This window comes from Homo sapiens, chromosome 11 (genome assembly GCF_000001405.40).
Source record: "Homo sapiens chromosome 11, GRCh38.p14 Primary Assembly".
Taxonomy (NCBI): domain Eukaryota; kingdom Metazoa; phylum Chordata; class Mammalia; order Primates; family Hominidae; genus Homo; species Homo sapiens.
The window spans coordinates 15,210,925-15,232,213 of NC_000011.10; the positions used below are offsets into that span (position 1 = coordinate 15,210,925).

General features: G+C 43.7%; 1 protein-coding gene across 11 annotated transcripts in view; it reads left to right on the forward strand.

The window, feature by feature from the left end:
- INSC (INSC spindle orientation adaptor protein) overlaps positions 1–21,289 on the forward strand; it is a 158,261-nt gene that overhangs the window by 99,509 nt on the left and 37,463 nt on the right. For all 11 annotated transcript variants that reach the window (XM_006718227.3, NM_001031853.5, XM_017017698.2 and 8 more), the window contains 2 exons: positions 10,553–10,724; positions 14,726–14,904. In XM_006718227.3, coding sequence (XP_006718290.1) covers positions 10,553–10,724; positions 14,726–14,904 — 351 coding nt within the window. The remainder of the gene's footprint in view (positions 1–10,552; positions 10,725–14,725; positions 14,905–21,289) is intronic.

The following is a 21,289-nucleotide window of genomic DNA, read 5'->3' on the forward strand; positions in this document are numbered from 1 at the left end:
CAGCATGGACAGTAGGCCAGCCCTCAAAGCCCAGAACTAGAACCATCACCCACAACCTGCTGCCGGCAAGTGGTGGGTCCTCTGGTCACCCACAGAGATAAAGAGAGACAGGGAGAAGGAAGGAGGATAAGAAAAGGGGAAGAGACTTACTGGAGGAAGAGAAAGGGAGAAGAGCTGGAAAGACACAAGCCCAGCTAATGGACAATCAATTTCCAAAGGAGTGTTTCGTTCTCTCTTTGGGCTACTTCAAAAATACAAACCAAGTTATTTGGAGATTTGTAATAGCTGGACATACAGTGCTCTGCTTGTGACCAACTTGAGTGTACCGTCCTCTCTTATTATGGTTTCAATTTTTATTTTCCTGATGAGTAATGGTTTTGAACACTTGTTCACATCCTTACTGGCCATTTGGTTATCATCTTTTGTGAAATGTAGGGCTGAGTCTTTTGCCCATTTTTAAAACACTGGGTTGTTTGTCTTTTCTTATTGATGTATAAACTTTGAAAAACACGTTCTACATATAAATTCTCTTAAGATACATATTATCAGCCTGTGGTAGGTTTTTTTATTCTCTTAATGGTGTCTTTTGATAAATAGAAATGCTTAATTTTGTTAAAATTCAATTTATTGACCTTTTCTTTTGTAGTCGGTGCTGCTTGCGTCCATTTAAGAAATCATTGATTTTTCCAAAATTATGAAAATATTCTCCTAATTTTCTTCTAGGAGCTTTATTGTTTTGCCTTTAAAATTTTGGCTTATGATATATTTCAACCTAATTTTAAAATGGTGTTCAAGGTCAATTTTTTTCCCATATGGATACCCAATTGAGCCAGCACTGTTTATTGAAAAGACTGTACTTTCAGCACTGAATTGAAGTGATACCTTTTTCTTTTTTTTTTAAATAGTGATACATGCATGAGTCTGTTTCTGGATTTTTTTTTTCTGTTCCATTAGCCTTTTTGTTCATCTTGTGCCAATAGAGCACGGGGCCCCTATAGTCTAATACATTTTTCTATTTGGTAACATAAATTAACCAACTTTGTTCTTCTTTAAGATTATCTTGGTAATTCTTAATTTCTTTACAGTTTTATATACATTTTAGAATCAGCTTGTCAATGTCCACAAAAATACCTGCTGAAATGATTGGGGTTTTTAAAAATTTAAATTTTTGGAAATTGACATAGTTTTTTTTTTGGAGATGGAGTCTCACTCTGTCGCCCAGGCTGGAGTGCAGTGGCACGATTCTAGCTCACTGCAACCTCCGCCTCCCGGGTTCAAGCGATTCTCCTGCCTCAGCCTCCTGAGTAGCTAGGATTACAGGTGTGTGCCACCGCGCCCAGCTAATTTTGTATTTTTAGTAGAGACAGGTTTCACCGTGTTAGCCAGGCTGATCTTGAACTCCTGACCTCAGGTGATCCGCCCACCTCAGCCTCCCTGACCTCAGGTGATCCGCCCACCTCAGCCTCCCAAAGTGCTGGAATTACAGGCGTGAGCCACTGGGCCCTGCCGTGAGCCACTGGGCCCCGCCAGAAATTGACATCTTAAACAATGTGTAATATTCTAATCAATGAACAGAGTACATCTCTCTACATCATACAAACTGTCTTTAATTTCTCTCAGCAATATTTTGAGTTTTTAGTGCTGGCATCTTGCACATCTTTTTTAGATTTATTCCTAGTTATGATTTCATGCAAATGTAAATGGTGTTTTTTAATTTTTATTTTCTGTTGTTGGTAATACATAAAAAATACAAGTTTGATATTGTATCCAGTAATCTTGCTTGCTATATTTACTTACTGTTTTTAATAGTGTATAGATTCATTAGAGTTTTCTATGTACACAATTATGTCATCTGTCAATAATGACAGTTTTGCCTCTACTTTTTCAATCCTTCTATTTTTGCATATCTTGTCTGATTGCATTGGGCAGTATGGTTTTAAATGAGAGCAGTGATAATGGGTATCTTTACCTTGTTACTGATTTCAGGGAAAAAGCTGTCAACATTTAACTTATTATTTTATTATTAAGTATGATACCATTATTATTTTAAGGATTAAAAATGAGGCTCATAGAAGGTGGATAACTTGCTCATTTCACCAAGTCAGCAAGGAGCCCAGGCTTTTCTCGCTGTGAAGGTTGTGCAACTTCCTTGTATTACAGATATCTCTAGAACAGTGCTGCTCAACTCAGGATGTCCATGAGAGTTACTTGAGGAGTTTTTTTTTTTTAATTATACTTTAAGTTTTACAAACTAATGATACCCCCAGCACTTTAGGAGGCCGAGGCGGGCAGATCACTGCACTCCAACCTGGGCGACAGAGTGAGACCTTGTCTCAAAAAAACAAAAACAAAAATAAAACCCTAATGATACCAAGACTCCACCACAGACCAATTAAATTCAAATTTCTGGTGGTAAAGTCTGGATATCTGTGTCTTTAAGACTGTCCTAGATGATTCGAATCATCTAAGAACCAGGCTGAGGACCACTGATCTAGAAGCAGGTTGGGTACAATTCAGATCCCAGCTGTGCCCAGTAGTGCTTTGCTGAAAACTTGATATTTTCTTATCAGCACATGCCTAGTAACCCTAGCCCAAAGGGAAATCCACCCCCAAAGCACCTTCAGAGCATCTGTTTGAAAATCAGCTATAAGGAAAATCATCTGCCTAACAGGGAAATTATTTACTCTATATACTCTTAAGTTACTCAATCCATAATTGCTTTCCACCTTAATTACTCATCCCTGCTTTCTCTGCCTATATGTCTCTCTCTCTCTCTACCTCACTGACTTGCCTGCCAAACTGGTTGTATAATCCCTTTCATTCATTGTTTCATTCCATATTACATATGAATATTTGTATTTTTCCATTTAACTTTTAACTAAAGATTCTTGTTTGACGTAGCAAAAGAAGTTGAGTGCTGGGATATATTAGTTTGGAGGAGGATAATATTATCATCCTGAAGGCCTGTTTTAGCTTCTGCAGCTTTCTATGGAGCTCTCAGCTCTATCACCACGCCATAAAACAAACACCTCATTGTATAAAGGGAGCCTTTAATTAACCTCTTAGACTGTTGCAGACGTCATCCTGAACCTTGTCCCTATCTGGTGTACAGTCCACATTAGCATTCTGCCTCTGACCCATGGGTTTATTTATTCCATGAAATGCTTTGCCCTTTCCCTTGGTCTGTCACTTGTCTTTGCTTCCTTGGATGTGACCCTTGCTCCCCTTTCTGATTATAATTGAATTTGCCCTCTAACTATACCCTGGATGAACAGGTCCATCCTGCCTAGATCAATGAGCAGGATGCCAGTCACTTTGTGATTCCCACTCATCATGTATTTTCCTGCAGCCTTTAGATGTCTGGAAGGACAGAAAGAAAGAGAAAATTTGAGCATCTCTAGGTCACTCTCCTGCTCCTATGGCTGCGTTTTCAGTGCATTCCCGTGATTCTGTTTAATTGTTACAATCCAGAAACCAACTCTACCTCCTTTTCCTTAAAATTAGACACATAAAACAAAAACAAAAACAACCTCCCTAAAAAACAAAACTAAGAAGAGCAGACTAGCACCAGTGATATATCATGGGCCTTTGTATATTAGCCTGTGTCCTTTAGATATTTGCATAAAAACCACCACTGGTGCTTTTCCAATAATCAGTAGGAGAATGTTGCCCATAAATCTGATATGATGTTTGCTGTACACTTTGGGTTCTTTAACTGCAAAAGTTCTGCTATGGTTTGATTGTGTCCTCCAAGGTTCATATGCTGGAAACATAATCCCCAGTGCAACTTTGTTGAGAGCTGGGACCTTTAAGAAGTGATTAGGTCATGAGGGCTCTGCACCCATGAATAGGTTAACACTGTTATTTTGGGAGTGGGTTAGATATCTTGGGTGTGGGCTCTTGATAAAAAGATGAGTTCAGCTTTATGCCCCCCACCAATCCTTTTATGCAAGATCTCTTGCCCTTCTGCCTTCCACTACAGAATGACGCAGCAAGTGGGCTCCTCAAACTTGGACTTCATAGCCTCCAAAACTGTAAGAAGTAAATCGATTCTTTATAAATCACCCAGTCTCAGGTATTTCATTATAGCAGCATAAAATAGACTAAGACAATTTCCATGCTGTTCCTCCCACTCCCTGGGAAGAATCTCAGCATTCGCCAGCCCCTTCTGTATCCAGACTCCAGGTGCATCAGCTCTGCTGCCCAGATGATGACCAAGCCAGGCCATCCTCATCACCACTTGCATGCCCGCCCATGAGGAAAGTCTGGCTTCAGGCCCAGGCCCATTCCATTCCATGTAAAATCTAATTATCTATAAGTGCTTCCAGCAGCAATTTCTTTAGGGATGTGAAAGTGCTTTGATTAGATTGTTCTCTTGGCATCATTAAGTTTACAACAAGGGATGGGAAGTGGGTGATTTGGGGATGCAGACTTTCCTAAAATGGGACTTGTGTTTGGGGCAGCTGGCCTCAGGGTGGGCTACTCCTGGGCCCATCATGGGAACTAAGCTGAGCATCCCCTGCTCACCTGGCCCTTTCACCAGCTTTTCCTCTTCTCCCCAGAGGCCCCAATGAGGGAGGCATGGGACAACAAGTGAGGAGGCCAGAACTGGAGTCCTGGCCCTGGCATTAACTTGCCATGTGGCCTAGGTAATCTCATCTCCTCCCTGGGCCTCCATTTCCTCATCATTCAGCCCATACTTCATCAGTAAACTGCTGTGTGTTAGGCCTCAGCTGGATGCTGAGGATCTAGAGAAAATTTGGTATAAGAACTGCCCTGAGTGGCTCAAATCTGCTTGGGGAATGTGCATGTTACCAGAAGAGACCATCTAACTTGATAGGTGTTCTAGCTGAGGTCAGACCACAGTGATGTGGCAATGGGGAGAACAGAGATGACCTCTTCTGGGTGAGGGAGGTGCATGCATGTTCACAGAGGAAGTGACATCTGACCAGCTCTGAGAGGGGAGTAAGGAGGGAAAACAGGGAAAATGACCACTTCAGCTTTAAGTGAATTGGGGTTGAGGTGCCCGTGGAATATCCAGGCAAATTATGTTTGGAATTATATATAAAATGATAAGATAGCAGTTTGGAATGTAGACGTGGATCTCAGAAAAGAGGGCTAGGTTTAGGGGTCATTGTAGCGAGTCACTGAGGCAACTTGGGTTTGGGTGCCTTTGTCTGATATGGAGTAAAGCGGGCTGGCAGCAAAACCTGGTATATGCCAGTTGAGATGAATGCAAAGGAGGAGAGGCCAACAGAGCAAATGGTAAAAAGTGGTGAGCTAGGGAGGAGCCTAAAAGTGTGGTGTCATAAAGTCTCAGCAGGAGATCAGGGCAAGATGGAGAGAACTGAATTCTCAGGAGCAGTGGAGCTTACAGGGAGGCCAAGTGAGAGAGGAATTGATTGACTGAGATTTGCATCAGACAATTTCTCAAATCCTTTGTAAGCATATGATTTCTCTCTCCCCTCTCTATCTCACTTTCTCTCTGTCTCACTCTCCATTTTCGTGTTGCTGTGCGTCTTTGTGTCTTCATCTCTCTTATTTATTTCTGCTTCATCTCTGTGTCACTGCCCAGGTCAGCACCTATCACAATGTAGGTGCTCAGGAAATGTTTATTGAACTATAGAAATGCAGGGATAGTACTGATTTTCTCTTTCTTCCCTTCTGAGGAGTTGCAATTATTCATTGCATTGTTCCTAGTTAGGAATCAAAACAGAAATCACTCCCATTTTAAAAGTCCTGGTTCTGGGCTGCATGACTGATGGATGTCTAAACAAGTGGTTAAACTTTGGGCCCCAGTGCAAAGAGCTGAGGTTCCTGGTGAGGTCTCAGTTCCAAAAAGAGTGTGCAGAAAGGACTTCTGGAGAGAAGCCCAGTGAGGAGGCTGGGACAGGCAGAAGTGGGGTGAACCTAGGATTCAGGGCCCCAAGTCTAGGAGCCACCAGGTGGGGAGGGGAGGGAATGATGGTGCCACCATGTGGCAGGCACTATACATGCAGTCTCTCATTTAATAATTCCAATGGTCCTCTGAAGTTGTTACTTTTAGGCCTATTTTATAAGAAGGAAAAAAACAACCTATGAGATTGGTATTATTCCTGTTTTATAGATAAAAGCTCAAAGTAGGTGTATTAGTCTTTTTTCACATTGCTGTAAGGACATATCCAAGACTGGGTAATTTATAAAGGAAAGAGGTTTAATTGGCTCACAGTTCCACAGGACTGGGGAGGTCTCAGGAAACTTAACAATCATGGTGGAAGGGGAAGCAAATACATCCTTGTTCACATGGCAGCAGCAAGGAGAAGTGCAGAGCAAAGCGGAGGGGAAGCCCCTTATAAAATCATCAGATCTCACGAGAAATCACTCACTATCACAAGAACAGCATGACTCAATTACCTCCCACCAGGTCCCTCTCATGACATGGGGATTATGGGAACTACAGTTCAAGGTGAGATTTGGGTGGGGACACAGCCAAACCATATCAGTAGGTAAGAAAATTGTTCAGCTAGTAAAGGATAGAGGCAGGATTCAGACGTAGGTAGGCCTAAATCTAATGTCTGTGCATGTTCTGATGCTACAGGAATTGCCTCAGGTGCTGGGAAGCCCAGAACCCAGTGGTGTGGGGCGCTTGAGTGGCCTCATACTATGGTGAGCTGGGCTGTGCAAGAGCTGCTGAGATGGTAATGAATATGAAGATCAACTTGCTGGCAGCAGACCAAGTGGCTGGTCAGCTGCATCAGAACGAAACGCTAGGAAAATTTGGCCCCTATGAAAAGATGCTAAACAGGCAATTTATAGTAGAGGAGATCCAACTTGCAAAAAACAAAAGCCAAAACAAACCAAATCAAAGCAAAATAATGATATTAAAAGTCTTTCAACCTCATTAGGAAGTGGAGACATGCAGGTTAAAATACAATTTTTGTAGCCATAAAATTGGCAAAAAATTTAAAAATCTGCCAATAGCAAGTATTGGCAAGAATCTGGTTTTTAGTGTGATTATGTATTGCTGGTGGGAATAAAAGTTACTACTATCATGTCGCAAAACAATTGGCAATACCAATAAACCTAAAGATGCGGAAACACTTTGCCCTAGGAATTCCACTCCTAGATTGGGATCTCTGAAGAAACTGGCAGATGTTCACCAGAAGACATTTAGAAGAATATTTATAGCAGCACTGTCCATTATAGCAAAAGCTGGGAAGCCACTCAGACACCCATCGACGGGAGAATGCATAAATGAATTGAAATTGATTTATATAATGAAATACCATACAACAGTGAAAATAAATGGATCATAGCCACATGCAACAACAAGAAGAGGTTTCATAAACAAATACTGACTGGAGAGAAAAATAAATTGCCATATTCAGCATTATACCATTTATGTCAAGTACAAATCTTGTAAAACTAACAGTGGATACCTTCAATAAACCTCTGAGGAAAACAAGGGAATAATATGCATAAAACTCAGAGTAATGGCCCATCCAGCAGGAGAAATCAGAGGTATGAGATCATGAAAGGTGTGCTGGGGATTTTCTTGATTTTATTTCTAGAACTAGAATTTTTGGATATTAGGCATATACATCTAAACATACAGGTGTTCATTTTATTATTTGTTAAAACTTATTCTCTCTCTCTCTCTATATATATATATGTACATATATATATTTCCCTTTTGAAGGGATAATTAATGAGTTACCAAAAGAGATCTGAAGCATATAAAACAAACTACAAGGGAAGCAAGACGATGGGCAATTGGCAATTGTATAAGCAACTCCACACATCCTCTGGAAACCAAAGGACAGTGAAGAAATTGGGGTCTACATCAGGATGGGGTCACTTTCCTGGGGTCAAGAATCAATTTAAGTTCTCATGTTGGCTGTTTCTCCAATGCTATCTTTTCCTATAATTGCCTTTGCTCACAATAGCTCCTCCATCTACGACGCCATTCCTTTAGCTTTGCTTGTCTAAAGTGTGTCCTTAAGTGTTAGGTCAAATTTTACTTTATTGTACTTATTTCCCACTTACTAAAAGCCTACTACATGCCAGACCTTGAGCAGCCAAGAGTTAACAAGCTGTGGTCCCCAGGCTTGCAGAGATGGCAGGGGGACAGGGGAGCAGACAGACAAAGGAGCAGAGAATCACACTGTATTAGTGCTTCTCTGAATTGCTGGCACATGAAAGTCAGCTGTGGAGCTGTTAAAAAGCAGATTCTCAAGCCTCTCTGGCAATTCTGGTGGAATAGGTCTGGGTGGGATACAGGAACTTGCTCTTAGGAAACTCTCACTGAATTTGATGCAGCTGGTCCACAGACCTCACTTGGAGAAACAGGGCCTGTTGGTGTGACAAATGTGACAATGATAGCAAAGGTACTTGGGCATGGGAGACCCAAAGAAGGCCACGTCTCCCAACTGAGGCGTGTTCATTAAGTCAGGGTAGCCTCCAGGAGGCCCCTCTGTAGAGCATCTTCATTTGTAATTTGTAGATGTGAATCACCTCCCCAACTGCAGTGGACACTGTTCCCAGCACAAGGCTTGGCATGCAGTATATGTCAGGGATGTTTTATTCAATGGGGTTTCAGAGCAGCAGTCTGGACTAGGGAGCAGGCCTGGCAGCCAGGCCTTGGGTGGCAGCAGACCCTGGGGACCATCAAATCCTTGGCCTCTCTGGTGTGTTCAGATTGGCCTATCTCCAAGCATGTGTTGGGGATTAGGGCAAGTTACTGGTTTGGGTCCGACTGGTATTCACATCTGAGCTGGGGACCAGGATAGCATCTGCAACCACGTTGAGATTAAGGAGACGGGATTGATTGAGATATTTCCCCACTAATGATCCTATAGCTTCTTAGCAACGAGCTTGATCTGTGCTGGAAGGAGGAAAGGGATGAAAGCCAGATGGAGTAAGAGGTTTCTTATGTTGGCAATAGGGCTGCTTCCTGCTTCTAGCCCCTGCTTCCCTTCCCTTTTCTAGGCCCAAACGAGGCCTCTCTCTGAAGGCCTGTTAGTTAAACACCTGGCATGAGTCCAGTTCTGCCAGGGACCACATGGCTGCTGTTTGTTCCCTTTTATTAAGCACATCCAGGTGAATTTTATTGTGGACAGTTCCCTGGGCTCCTGTTTCCACATTTGTCTCCTTTGAGTCTGAGATTGCCAAAGGCTTTCACAGCTAATGGACCTTACAGCTCCCAAGAGCCATTTAAGGGAGGCACAGAACTCAGTGGTGATAATTAGGCAAACGAAATGCAGACCTCTGGAGGCCCACTGGAGCTGAGTGGCAGGAAGACGCAGGGACAGAAGCCTCAGGTCTGTGGCAGGTGTAGGGAATGAGCACGGGCTGCTCCTCACCCCACCTCTCCTGTTCTTCCCCTGCCTCATCCCTACCTCCCACTCCCAACCCGAGAAGGACTTGGTGCTTGGTGGCATGGTCCCCAGGCAGGCTGGTGTCCGGGGCATCTGAGGGGCTGCAGTAGCACTGCAGAGCTAACCTTGACAAGCTCCTGCCCTCTTTTTCTCCAGCAAATCTTGTGTACTGACCCCAATGGAGGCTGAGGTCTGAGCTCAGGTGCCACTTCTTAGGAGGCAGCATCACATCCTGTTCAAAACCTGGGCTTTGACACCAGACCATTTGAGTTTGAATACCAATCCAACTGCTTTTAAAGTTCTTGATCTGGGGCAAGTCAATGAACCTTTCTGTGACTCAGCTTTCTTGTCTGTAAAATGGGAATAATAATACTGACCTCAGAGGGTTATTGTAAGGAATAGATTGTGTAATAACATGTGCACTCTATAGAATGGTACCTGGCACACTGTAAGCACATGCTCAGCAGAAGCTGTTATGCCAAGAGCAGATCTGACCCGGGCAGAGCTTGGAAACATGTTCTTATCTGGCACTAATGTCCCACCAGTTTCAGGTTTGCTTCTTACTGGTTGGGCACAGAAAGCAAGGCCACCAGGGAAGCAGCCCCATTTCTATAGTGGAGAATGGTGGAGGACAAGATGGGGAAGGAAATACTAAGCTCATCCTGTTGCTAAATATGAGGAAGGGAGGAAGAAACCAACATTTCCTGAGCATCTCTTCTAGATCAGGCATTGCCTGCTTTATCTCTTCAATCCCACAACACCCTGTTGAACGGTGAGGAAACAGAATCTCAGAGAGGGTAAGTGACTAACGCCAAGTCACACAGCAAGGAAGAGGGGATTGGAGGTCAGGGATGTGAGATTTCTAAGTGACTGTTCTTTCTATGACGATTTGCTGTGGTGGATGACCAGGGTCCTGACTCTAGACACTTGACTTGATGTCCGCTATCTAGGAGGCCCATGAAAGGTTACTGATCTCTGCTGGACTCAAAGGAGAGGCCTCCAGGTGCCAGAATTTGAGTCATTATGAGGGCCTTATCACTGGATTGTCCCTGGTTCCACATGGGGTCCTGGGCTGTTCTGGGAAGCCAGAGCTGGCTTCCATGTAGTGGGGGCTGAATCTGTATCTGTCTCATTAATGTCATGGGCAGTGGTGTCCACCCAGGATGCACAGGGGAGCTCCCTCTCTCCATCTGCAGGTGGATGGCGTTCTGTGCTTGGCCGACATCCTGACCGACAACAGCCACTCAGAGGCCACACGGGCTGAGGCTGCGGCTGTGGTGGCCCAGGTCACCTCCCCACACCTGCCCGTCACCCAGCACCTCAGTAGCTTCCTGGAGAGCATGGAGGAGATCGTGACAGCCCTCGTCAGTGAGTCACCCTGGGCAGCGGGACCACTAGGAGAGAGGGCCTTGGCACAGTTGTCTTCAGAAATAGCCAGGAAGGCCTTCCCATCTGCCACTCATTGCACCCCAAATATCTCCTGCATAGATGATCATATTTGCTGAAATCCCACAATTAATGGATCTGAATTAGGCTTTGATGAGCTCTATTATCAAGAGTTTCCTATTAAAATGTGTGCGGCCCTCTGAGAAGCAACCTGAATTATTGTCAGTTTGGGATTCATTGGCCTTTCAGAAGGGAGTCCAGGACAAGCCCCAGAAAGGAATGGGGCCTCAAATTTTGACGTTCAGATACTCAGATCGAGAGACTCTGATAGGCATTTTTCCTAAAGTCTCAGTCCTTGTGCCCAGTGACTATGGCAGCAATGACTGGGGAAAATGGTTTCTCAGAGAGCACCAGCCCACCACAACCTGCTGCCTGAAAATCCCACCATTGGCCTCATATCATGGGGCCTTGAAAGCATTGACTCCTCTAGGTTCCCCTATTCAAACATATGTACCCCCAGCAGGAGAATCATAGATCCGTATCTAAAATATGCTCTTTTCTTAGTTTTCCTTTGCTAAATTATAGAAACTGAAAGCGCTTGTCTGGATAACAATCCCCAGGGAATTTTTTGTGACCCACCTCTTTCTTTTAAAAGTGCTAACGGTGATCTGTGTTTCTATTTCTCTGGCACTCTCTTTGTATCTAATTGAAATGGAATGAAATTTAATTTTATCAGAAAATTTAGGATTAGCTCTTGGAGTCACCATGCCAGGGCTGGGAATATCTGAAATAGCATGAACTTAGGGGCAACACAGAACATTGGGCAAGGAGTCAGAACCCTGGGTTTGGACTCGGGCTTTTCACTCATCCATTCAAGTGGTTATGTGCAGCAAGCCTGCGCCGGTACTGTGTGAGATCCCGCCACTCACTTCTTACCATGTCACATTGTAAAACCCACTTCACAATTTTCCTAATATAAACAAGACATTGCAACTCGTTTCTCTCAAGGGTCCTTCTAACTCTAGAATTTGGAGATCTGCAAGTACTTTGCACATAGAAGACATCAGTTAAGTTGAGTTTATGGCTGATTCTAGTCATGGGGGCAGTGGCACTCACAGGTCAGGCTGGGAGAAATCAATTTGCCAATGTCCACATTTATTCAAAATTGAGAAAACATGGAAGCCCATTGTTGAAAGTCTTGGCTCGAGGGAGCTCAAGAGACCCTACAGTTCTAAGCATACTCTCTAGGTGAAGAAATCTAAGCCTAGAGGGGTTAAGTTACTTTCCTAAGGCCACAAAACAGCATTATGACTCACTTATGCCAGGAGTCTCATATTCAACATTCACCAGAGCCCATTAAGAAACATAAATGAGTTGAAGAGAGCCAGGTGGAAGAATAAAGGTGTTTGAGTCTTGTGTCAAATTGAAAAGCCCATGCACTGTCTAAAGGTGTGGTCACTGGTAAATTTCAGTTGATTGTTACCATGTGGGAAAGGCATAGACTTTTAAAGATAAGACAAAAATTGTAAACTTCATAGAAAATTTCTCAATTTATAAACATTATCAAATAAACAAAAGTACATGTAGTCCAAGTGACCTTTCACTATTGTCATGTATTCATTCCTGCTTCACTGCCCAGGCTGGGTTTCTCCCTGAGCCAAGGGGTCTTCCTATTTGTTTCATCCTGATGAAGATGCATTGTATAGTCCACTCTGAGATTCAGCAGATATCTTCTGGGCAGGAAGCCAGAGCTCTGTTCTTTGGTGGGAAATAGCCCTCCAACTTCTTGCCATTCCCTGGAAACATTTATAAATGAGTCACTGGAATCCTCAATTTAATCTTCCTAACACATCCCAGGTGACTCAGACTGTAGTTCAAATAAATGTGCAGCAAAATTAAAAGGCACTTAGGTGGTTGTGTTAATAATTGCTGTGTCGGCAGCAATAGCAACTGAATGAGAATGAGGGGGAGTGTTAGGACCTAGAAGGAATCTTACAGCAAAGTGGGCCACTGAGCTCTGCAGACTCACCCAAAACCATGGATATAGGGAGGTGGCCTGGAAGGGGCTGGGGACTCCAGTGATTTTCCCAAAATCAGAGGATAAGGCAATCATTGGATAAAGGGAATCAGAGTTCTTAATACCTTGGCTAATCTGTTTTTCCAGTCCTGGGTGGTTGGATCAAGAGCTTGAATTATCTAATGGTCAAACCTGGGCTGTGGGGAGCAACATTGCCCAGAGGGAGGCATTACCCTCCTGATAGAACCAAAACCCACATCTGTGGAAGCATTGCTGGGAATAAGTCAGAGGCTGAGAGACCAGAAGCAACTTGTAATGTAGAAAGAATGGGAACTTTGGAGTCAGGCAGACCTGGATTTGATTCTAGCCTCAAACAGTTACTTACTGGCCATAAGACCAGGAGCAAATCACTTAACATTTGAATCCTCAATTTCTTTATTTACAAAATAGTGATAAAAATGGGATTGTTGTAAGGATTAAATTATGTAATGAAGTAAAAAATATGTACAGCAGTGAGTAAACAAGAAATGGTAGCTGCTGATACTACTAGCTTCTCTAAGATTCAGCTAGTTGTAAATGTGGACAATCATTTTCTACTTTGAGGGTATTCAGAATTTAATGGCACAGTGCAAGGCCCACTGCAGGTGTTTGACTAATGTTATTGGTAGAAAAAGGGTTTTACTACTAAAACTAAAAGGTAGGGATCAGAATGTGCATTCACAGGTAGGTGCTAAGAGGTGGCATTTGCTTCAGAACCTGGAAGTATAGACTGTCTGGAGGCAAGAACTAGGGACCAGGATAGAACACAGCTCAATTTTGTCTCCCAAACTTTCTTTCTCTCCTGGGACTCTTTTTCTGAAGTATGGCCTTGCCTCCTGTGGTTTTGTGAAGGTGTTATCAGTAGGAGAGGGCCTGGACCGGAGAAGTACCTTGATTGGTAGTGAAGTTGGAGCTGAGGGCCAGACGTCAGGTCCACTGAAATGGGGGAAGCACCATGGATAGAGCCCATCTATGCCTCCTCCTGAGGTGGGCGTCCATTCCAGATTCTGTGGAGCCCATGGGGGATGTGTCAGGTGGTGGAAGGATAAGGTTACTCTGCTCCTTAAAGGCCCTTAGTACAATTACAGATGGTAAATGGGGGAATTTGGTTAGGGCTAAGCTAGGACCACTAGGATTAAAGAGCCTGACATTCAGGAGCTTGGTATAGGACTTTCTTGCTGCCAGATAACCCTTATCCTGGGACCAAAAGGAAGCACTGAGGCTCTGTTGATGGCAGCTGGAGGGGTATAGTCTCTCTGTTTCACCTTTAGTCTCTTCCTTAAGGCAAGCTTAGCAGCAGGCTAGTGTGCATTACCGGAGACACACATGGACTGAGAGCTCCTTCCGGACTCACAGGCTTTGTATCTCCTTTTCCTTTGGTCTAGAATATTCTGTTTCCCCAAGTATTTTTATGACTGGCCCCTTTCTTCCCTTAAGGTCTCAGCTGTAAAGTCACATTCTTAGGGACACCTTTTGTTGCGCACCTCAGCGGAACACTAGTTATTCTCTTAGCACTTGTTTATTTTCTCCCTCATATTTATCAGACTTTGTAATTATGCATAGTAATTTTTAAAAGCTTATTTTCTCTTGCCCACTAGTAAAGTGTGAGCTCAACAAAGGCAAGGACCTGACCTGTTTTGTTCACTATGCCATCCCAAGACCCCAGTGGCACCTGACACATAGTGTTCATTCAATAAATACTTATTGGATGAAGGAGTGAGTAGAATTACATACCAGGTTTCAAATCCCATTTGCCACCTGGGTAGACAGATACTGTTGCCTCTCTAGTAGCCACTTTCCTCATCTGTAAAATGGGTATTATAACACCTGCTCAAACGATCTCCCAGAGGTATTGTGTGAACCAAATGAGACAAGTGATATGAAAACACTTGGCACGGAAGTTATTTTCTTTCTCTTTGCCATCCAGAACTGTGCCAAGAGGCCTCATCAGGGGAAGTCTTCCTACTGGCCTCTGCGGCCCTTGCCAACATCACGTTCTTTGACACAATGGCCTGCGAGATGCTCCTGCAGTTGAATGCCATCCGTGTTCTCCTGGAAGCCTGCAGTGACAAGCAGAGAGTGGACACGCCTTACACTCGGGACCAGGTAAGACGCCCAGAAGGCACTGAGCACAGGGCCCATAGCCATGGAGACAGAAGTTAGGAGGCCAGCACGTAGTTTCTGAGGCAGGGGAGAGAGCATGGGAGTCCTGTTAGTTTTGCATGCTGTAGGAGGGCAAATATTCTCCACGTTTCTCATTGACTTTGTAGCCTCTCTATGAGAACTCCTACCCTCTTTGCCCATCCCATTATGAGCTTTACATGCTGCAGGAAGGTAAAAGAATATATTTTCTGTGTCTCTCATTGACCTTGAAGCCTCCCTACGAGATCTCCTACCTGCTTTGCCCATCCCAACCACTGTAGGGCCTTCCTCAATCTCTGTTCAGATTGCCTATTCTGGGAGGCGGAAAGACCCATGGAAGGTGCCTAGACCTCCTCTGAAGGTCTGTGTCCTGGTCATGTTGGTGGCCGTCTAACACTGAACCCTATAGTGAACTGCTCCCCTCTTTATCTCCATGAGAAACAGGGGCTTGGAGCAGAACCTTCATTCAGGGCCTCAGCTTCTACATCAGTCATAATTGTCTATGTATATTTGAGCTCCATGAAAGGTTTTCTTTGGTAGAAAGGGGGTTTTACTACTAAAAGTGTTTGAAAACATAGAATGGGGGTATTTTAAAGGCTCTTTGAACTCTGATGTTCTAGAATTTTATACCATTTCACCTCTGGCCACACTTGGCCTCCCACATCACCACCAAGGAGTGGGGGTGGTAGATTAGGTGGTCTCTGTAAATTCTTCCCAGTACCTGAGCTCTAAGTTACATGATCCTCTCGTCCTCAACTCAGCTTATCCCTGTCTGCATTTTAGCCCCTAAACCATCACCTCTTCCAGGCTTATCTCTTAACTGAAGCTGCTTTGGTTTCTGTTCCATGCCAGCAGCTGCAGGAAGGCCTTCCCTGATGGTTTCAGCCCTCTGGAATTGCCTCCTTTTCTTAGAATTCATACCTCACAATGCAGTGTTGACTTATCTAATGAGGTTATTCCTCTTAATTATTTCATGTGATTTTCTTCCTCTGAGGGCATGATCCATGTTCCCTAGGATTTTTTAAGGCCTCTAGCCTAGAGCTGGTGCCCTTGGTGAAGTTCCCCAAACTTTGTCAGTTATTTCTTATCCTCAGAATCGCCTGTGAAAGGGCAGCTGACCGTAGAAGCTCCTATTCGGAGATAATTTTCTAGTATCTAAGCATTTGCGTATGAGGGTTCTAATAATACTGTGACACTGGTGATATTTGCCCCATTTTATAGATAAGAATATTTTGGCTCAAGAGGATGTCCCCAAAATTAAATGGTTGGCAGGCAGCTAGCCAGCATTTAAATGAGGATTAAATTTAAATCCTGACTTAGAACTTGATCTTTGACTCTCATCTGCTGTCATCTTTGAAGAAAGGAGGTAGTGCAGCTGTTGAACCACAGACTGGGTGTTGGTCCTGCCTGGGCCATTTATCAATTGAGTGACACTGAGCAAGTCAAAGGCTCCTGGGTGTTGGGTTTTTGCATCTATTAATTGGGACATGAATGTCTATATTGCAGGGTTATTGTGAGGGTGAGTGTAATAAGATATGCAAGGACCTGATGTAAGGCTTAGCCCCTATTAAGTTCTTAATAAATGGTGAATATCATTACTTTTTAAACCTGATGCTCCAAAGAAGAGCATGAGTAGTGAATTATCCAAAATCCTCAACTTGGCCCTCCAAACTATGTATGATATGTATGATTCCAGACTTCCTTTCCAGTCTGATCTTATTACTTCTAAGAGTTGGAGAGGTCCCTGTAGAGAGAAGGTATGACAGTAACAGATAAAGTGGTGACCCCCTGGTTGGCTATTGGCTTGATTGACTCCTGAGGGGGACATGCCCCATGCCTACCATAGACATACCCTTGGTAGTAGAGAGGGAGACAGGAGGGCCCACTTTTTGTGATCCGCCTTACTCATGCTCATGTTCTCTTCAGATAGATACCTCCAGTTGCTGGGTCTTTCATCTACCTGACATAATTTTAGGTTCTTTCACCTTCAAGTGCCTCTCCTGTGGCTGACTCCGGTCATTTCCTACAAGATCCAGTAGTGAGGCAATAAGACAAGGAATTTTGGATTCAGACAACCTGAGTTTGAGGCTTTTTTGCTATTAATAATCATGTCACTTTGGGCAATTCACTCTATGTCTCACTTTCTTAATTTGTAAAATGGAAACAAATAATACATATTTTACAAAGTTGAAATAAGAATTAAATTAATTAATAAATAAATATAAACTCTTGGTACAGACTCTGGCACATAGAAACTGTTAAATCAATGGAAGCCACTGTCAATGTTATTACAATTGGCCTTTGAATGTGTGGCACACAGCATTGAATGGGACCCTCCAGAGAGGAGTCCCCTCATCTGTAAAATGGGCATGACCTCTTCCATCTTGAACATCCTCTGTCTCTATGTGTAGAAGTCCCCTTCTTATCACAAGGAATGACTAGCCCCCTCTTGAAGCCTCACTGAGTCCTAGGAAAAGGAGATCAGGGTAGGGAGAGAATGTGGTTGCGCTGCCAGCAGATAGTTCTCTCTGCACCTGGAGTCGGTACCTTTTCACGTTACTCCACTGTCTGAGCCAGGCACGTCACCCACTGTCCTCAGGATGGCTTCACCTTCTGTCCTGTCTCAGAACAACCACTTAGCTAGTGAAAGTGCACCCATTAAAGAAACAAATGGCTCTTTCCTGTTGCAGTGGGAGGATTAAGGTGATCAGAGGGCTCTCTGTAATGAAGACAAAGAAGATGAATTAGGCTTTGAAGTGCTCACTGCCCCCTAAAATACTTAGGAGATTAAATGCCCCATGAGGCTTCCGGTAATGAATCTGCCAATGACGCCAATGCTGTGTGGAGCCTCTTGGTCTTGGATCTATACAGACTACCTCTGTTTGGACAATGAGAACCCTTCCATCATCCTGGCAAGCCAGGTCCACTTAATTTGTTCAACAGAAGCCTCGTTGGGTATGCCTATCCTGTCGCCACCCTTGGGGTATGGACGTTGGTGAGGGCAGCCTTGGACCTAGGCTCTTCTATACCCTTCAGCTAATCCACAGGAAGGTGGCACGGGCTGCAGCTGACATGGTCAGCCATTGAGAAGCCTGACAAGCAATCTGAATAGTCCTATGTTTTCATGCCCAGGAGGTATTTTCCAGGAGCCATACTGCCCATAGAATCCAGCTACAGATCTGACAGGGGGAGGTAGGAAACGGGCTGCCTCCAAATTTGTTGGTGAACTTCTGGCCTATCCGTCAAGCAGGGACAATCTAGGATGGAAGAGACCTGATTATCTTATCTAATATATAATAGAGATTTTTACTGAGTCTGACTTTTTGTGGCCTTCAGGAATTAACTGCTTTCATAAGGGAAGGAGTGCTAGTATATACTTCCCACAGTAATACCTCATCTGTTTGGCATTTTAGAATGACTAGATTTTGTAACATTTCTGGGACCTCACTGTGAATACCATTTATCAGGGAATGCCAGTCACTAGGGGTTTCATTTTTGTCTCACATCTCAAAATCTCTCTATAGTTTATAAAGCTCTGTCATATACATATATGACGTATTAGAAACAGCACAGGTTTTTAGTTCAGACAGATTTGAGTTCACATTCTGGTTCTGCCATTTCCCAGCTATGTGACCTTGGACAAATCACTTAATCTCTGAGCCACAATTTCCTCATCTGTGTAATGGGGATAATAACATTTGTTCCCTCCCTCATGTCATTATGATGATTAGATGGGATAACGCTCATAAAGTACTTAGAAGCAAAGCGAATACCCAATAATGAATGGGATGGGTTCTCTAACAGAACCAGAGACTGGGATGGGTCGGAGACAGGGAATGTAAGCTTTGGAACAGGAAGGTAGGGTCAGGAAATATAGTTAATGTGGTGGCAATTGTATTGGTCTATTCTCACATTGCTGTAAAGAAATGCCTGATGTAATCCCAGTACTTTGGGAGGTTGAGGCAGGCAGATTGCCTGTGTTCATGAGTTCAAGACCAGCCTGGGCAACGTGGCAAAATCCTATCTCTATAAAAAACATTTTTATATATATATAAATTTTTTATATATTATATATATATAATATTATATATATATTTATATATATATATATATATTATATATATATATATATATATATATATATATATAATATATATATATATATATATATATATAAAAGCCAGGCATGGTGGTACACACCTGTAGTCCCAGCTACTTGGGAAGCTGAGGTGGGAGGATGGCTTGAGCCCGGGAAATGGAGGTTACAGTGAGCCAAGATGGCACCACTGTACTCCAGCCTGGATGATAGAGCCAGACCTTGTCTCAAAAATAAAAATAAAAATAAATTACCTAAGACTGGGTAATTTGTAAAGAAAAAAGGTTTAATTGGCTCATGGTTCTACAGGCTATACAGAAAGCATGAAGCTGGAATCTGTTTGGCTTCTGGAGAGGCCTTAGAAAACTTACAATAATGATGGAAGGCAAAGGTGAAGCAGACACATCGCATGGCAGAAGCAGGAGCAAGAGAGAGTGAAGGGGGAGGTGCTTCACCCTTTTCAACAAGAACTCACTCACTATCATAAGAATAGCACCATGAAGATGGTGCTAAATCATTCATGAAGGGTCCACCCCCATGATCCAATCACCTCCCACCAGGCTCCACCTCTAACATAGGGGATTACAATTCAACATGAGATTTTGGTGAAGACACAGATCCAAAACATATCAGGGATATTGTGTAGTATTGGAGGAATCCAGGATCACAACACCCTGTCCTGACCTGCTCCAGAAACCCTTCCCTACAAAGCCAAGGGCAAACCAAGCACAGAGAATATGGTCTGACTTTTATATGCTCTCTAATACGGTGGGTTTACAGCCCAACATTCATGTAATCCCTGGGGCGAGGGAGCTGGGCCTCACCCAGGAGAGCCCTTCAGCCTGTTTGCCAGCAGCACGGGACCTACATCCAAAACAGTTCTATGGCTTTTATCATGTGGTCTCCTAAGCCTAAATCTTAGCCCACCAGTCTTGCCACTTTAGTAGTAAGGGAAAGCTGGTCCTGTCAATGAGAAGACCCACGTACCAGAGAGAAGAAGCCATCTGCTTGTCTCTGGGTCTAGGTCAGTGCCCTTCTCCTAGTCTGCACACCTGTCCAGCCCTCTCAGGTCCTGCGCCCTGGGCCCTGGGCCATGTCTGCCAGAGGGAGGAAAAGGCTCAAAAGAGAGCAGAAGAGGAGAGGGCTATACCTTCTCCTGGGCTCTCTTGCCTCTCTGGCCTTGGAAAAGAAAGTATTTTCAAAGAGATCCACCTTTCTTCCCTTAGATCCCTTAATTCTACAGATCAATGTCCTTGTCTGGATTCTTTCTGCTCTTTGGTAGAGGAAGTGGTGTGGAGGGAAGAGGGTGGAGAGAAGCACTGGGCTTCCCCTAGAGCAGTGCTATCCAATCTTTTGACTTCCCTGGGCCACACTGGAAGAAGAATTGTCTTGGGCCACACATAAAATACACTAACACTAACAACAGCTGATGAGCTAAAAAGAAAAATCACGCACAAAAAAATCTCATAATGTTTTAAGAAAGTTTACAAATTTGTGTTGGGCCACATTCAAAGCTGTCCTGGGCCACATGTGGCCTGTAGGTCATGGGTTGGACAAGCTTGCTAGAGGCTGAAAATTATTCTGCTTTTTGTTCTCAGGGCTGCAGTTGACATTGTTGCTGCAAATTTCAGAGTTAACACGGTGATAATAGAAATCTAAATATTCATCTGGCAATTAAAGAATAATTCTAATTACAGTCATACAAGCTGTTGGCCTTTTGGTCCTAATTTCTGCACAGCATAAAAGTAATTATAACTTTTCATGAAATATATGCCAGGCTTTCTTTGTTGAAAGTTCTTTAGATCAGAGCACCTGTCTCTACTTGGGTGTCCTGGGTATTCTTCACTTGCCTTGAATGCAGTTTGGTCTTCAGTATTAGTTTCCAGCAAGGGAACACAGGCAGAGTCAGGGTGTGATCAGGGCTGACTGCTGAGACACTGCTAGGATGTGAGGCAGGCCTGGTTCACACCTTGGCATCGGCCTGCAGACAAGTGTTTCTCCTCCGTGTGTGCTGACATCAAAAGGCCTCGCCAACCTCCTTCCTACCTCACAGGGACATTTCTTCTCGAACCAGTGACATGGGAGGTCCCCTGCTATCCTTGATCAATTTCCTGTCTGCCTCAATTTTCATGTCTTTGGAGGCCAAAGAAAAAATAATTTGAAAATGCCACAGAAGGTAGTGAATACACACTTTGCTGTTCTTCTGATGGGAAGGGTTGACTTGCTCTGGGACAGGCTCACCTTTGGGAGGGA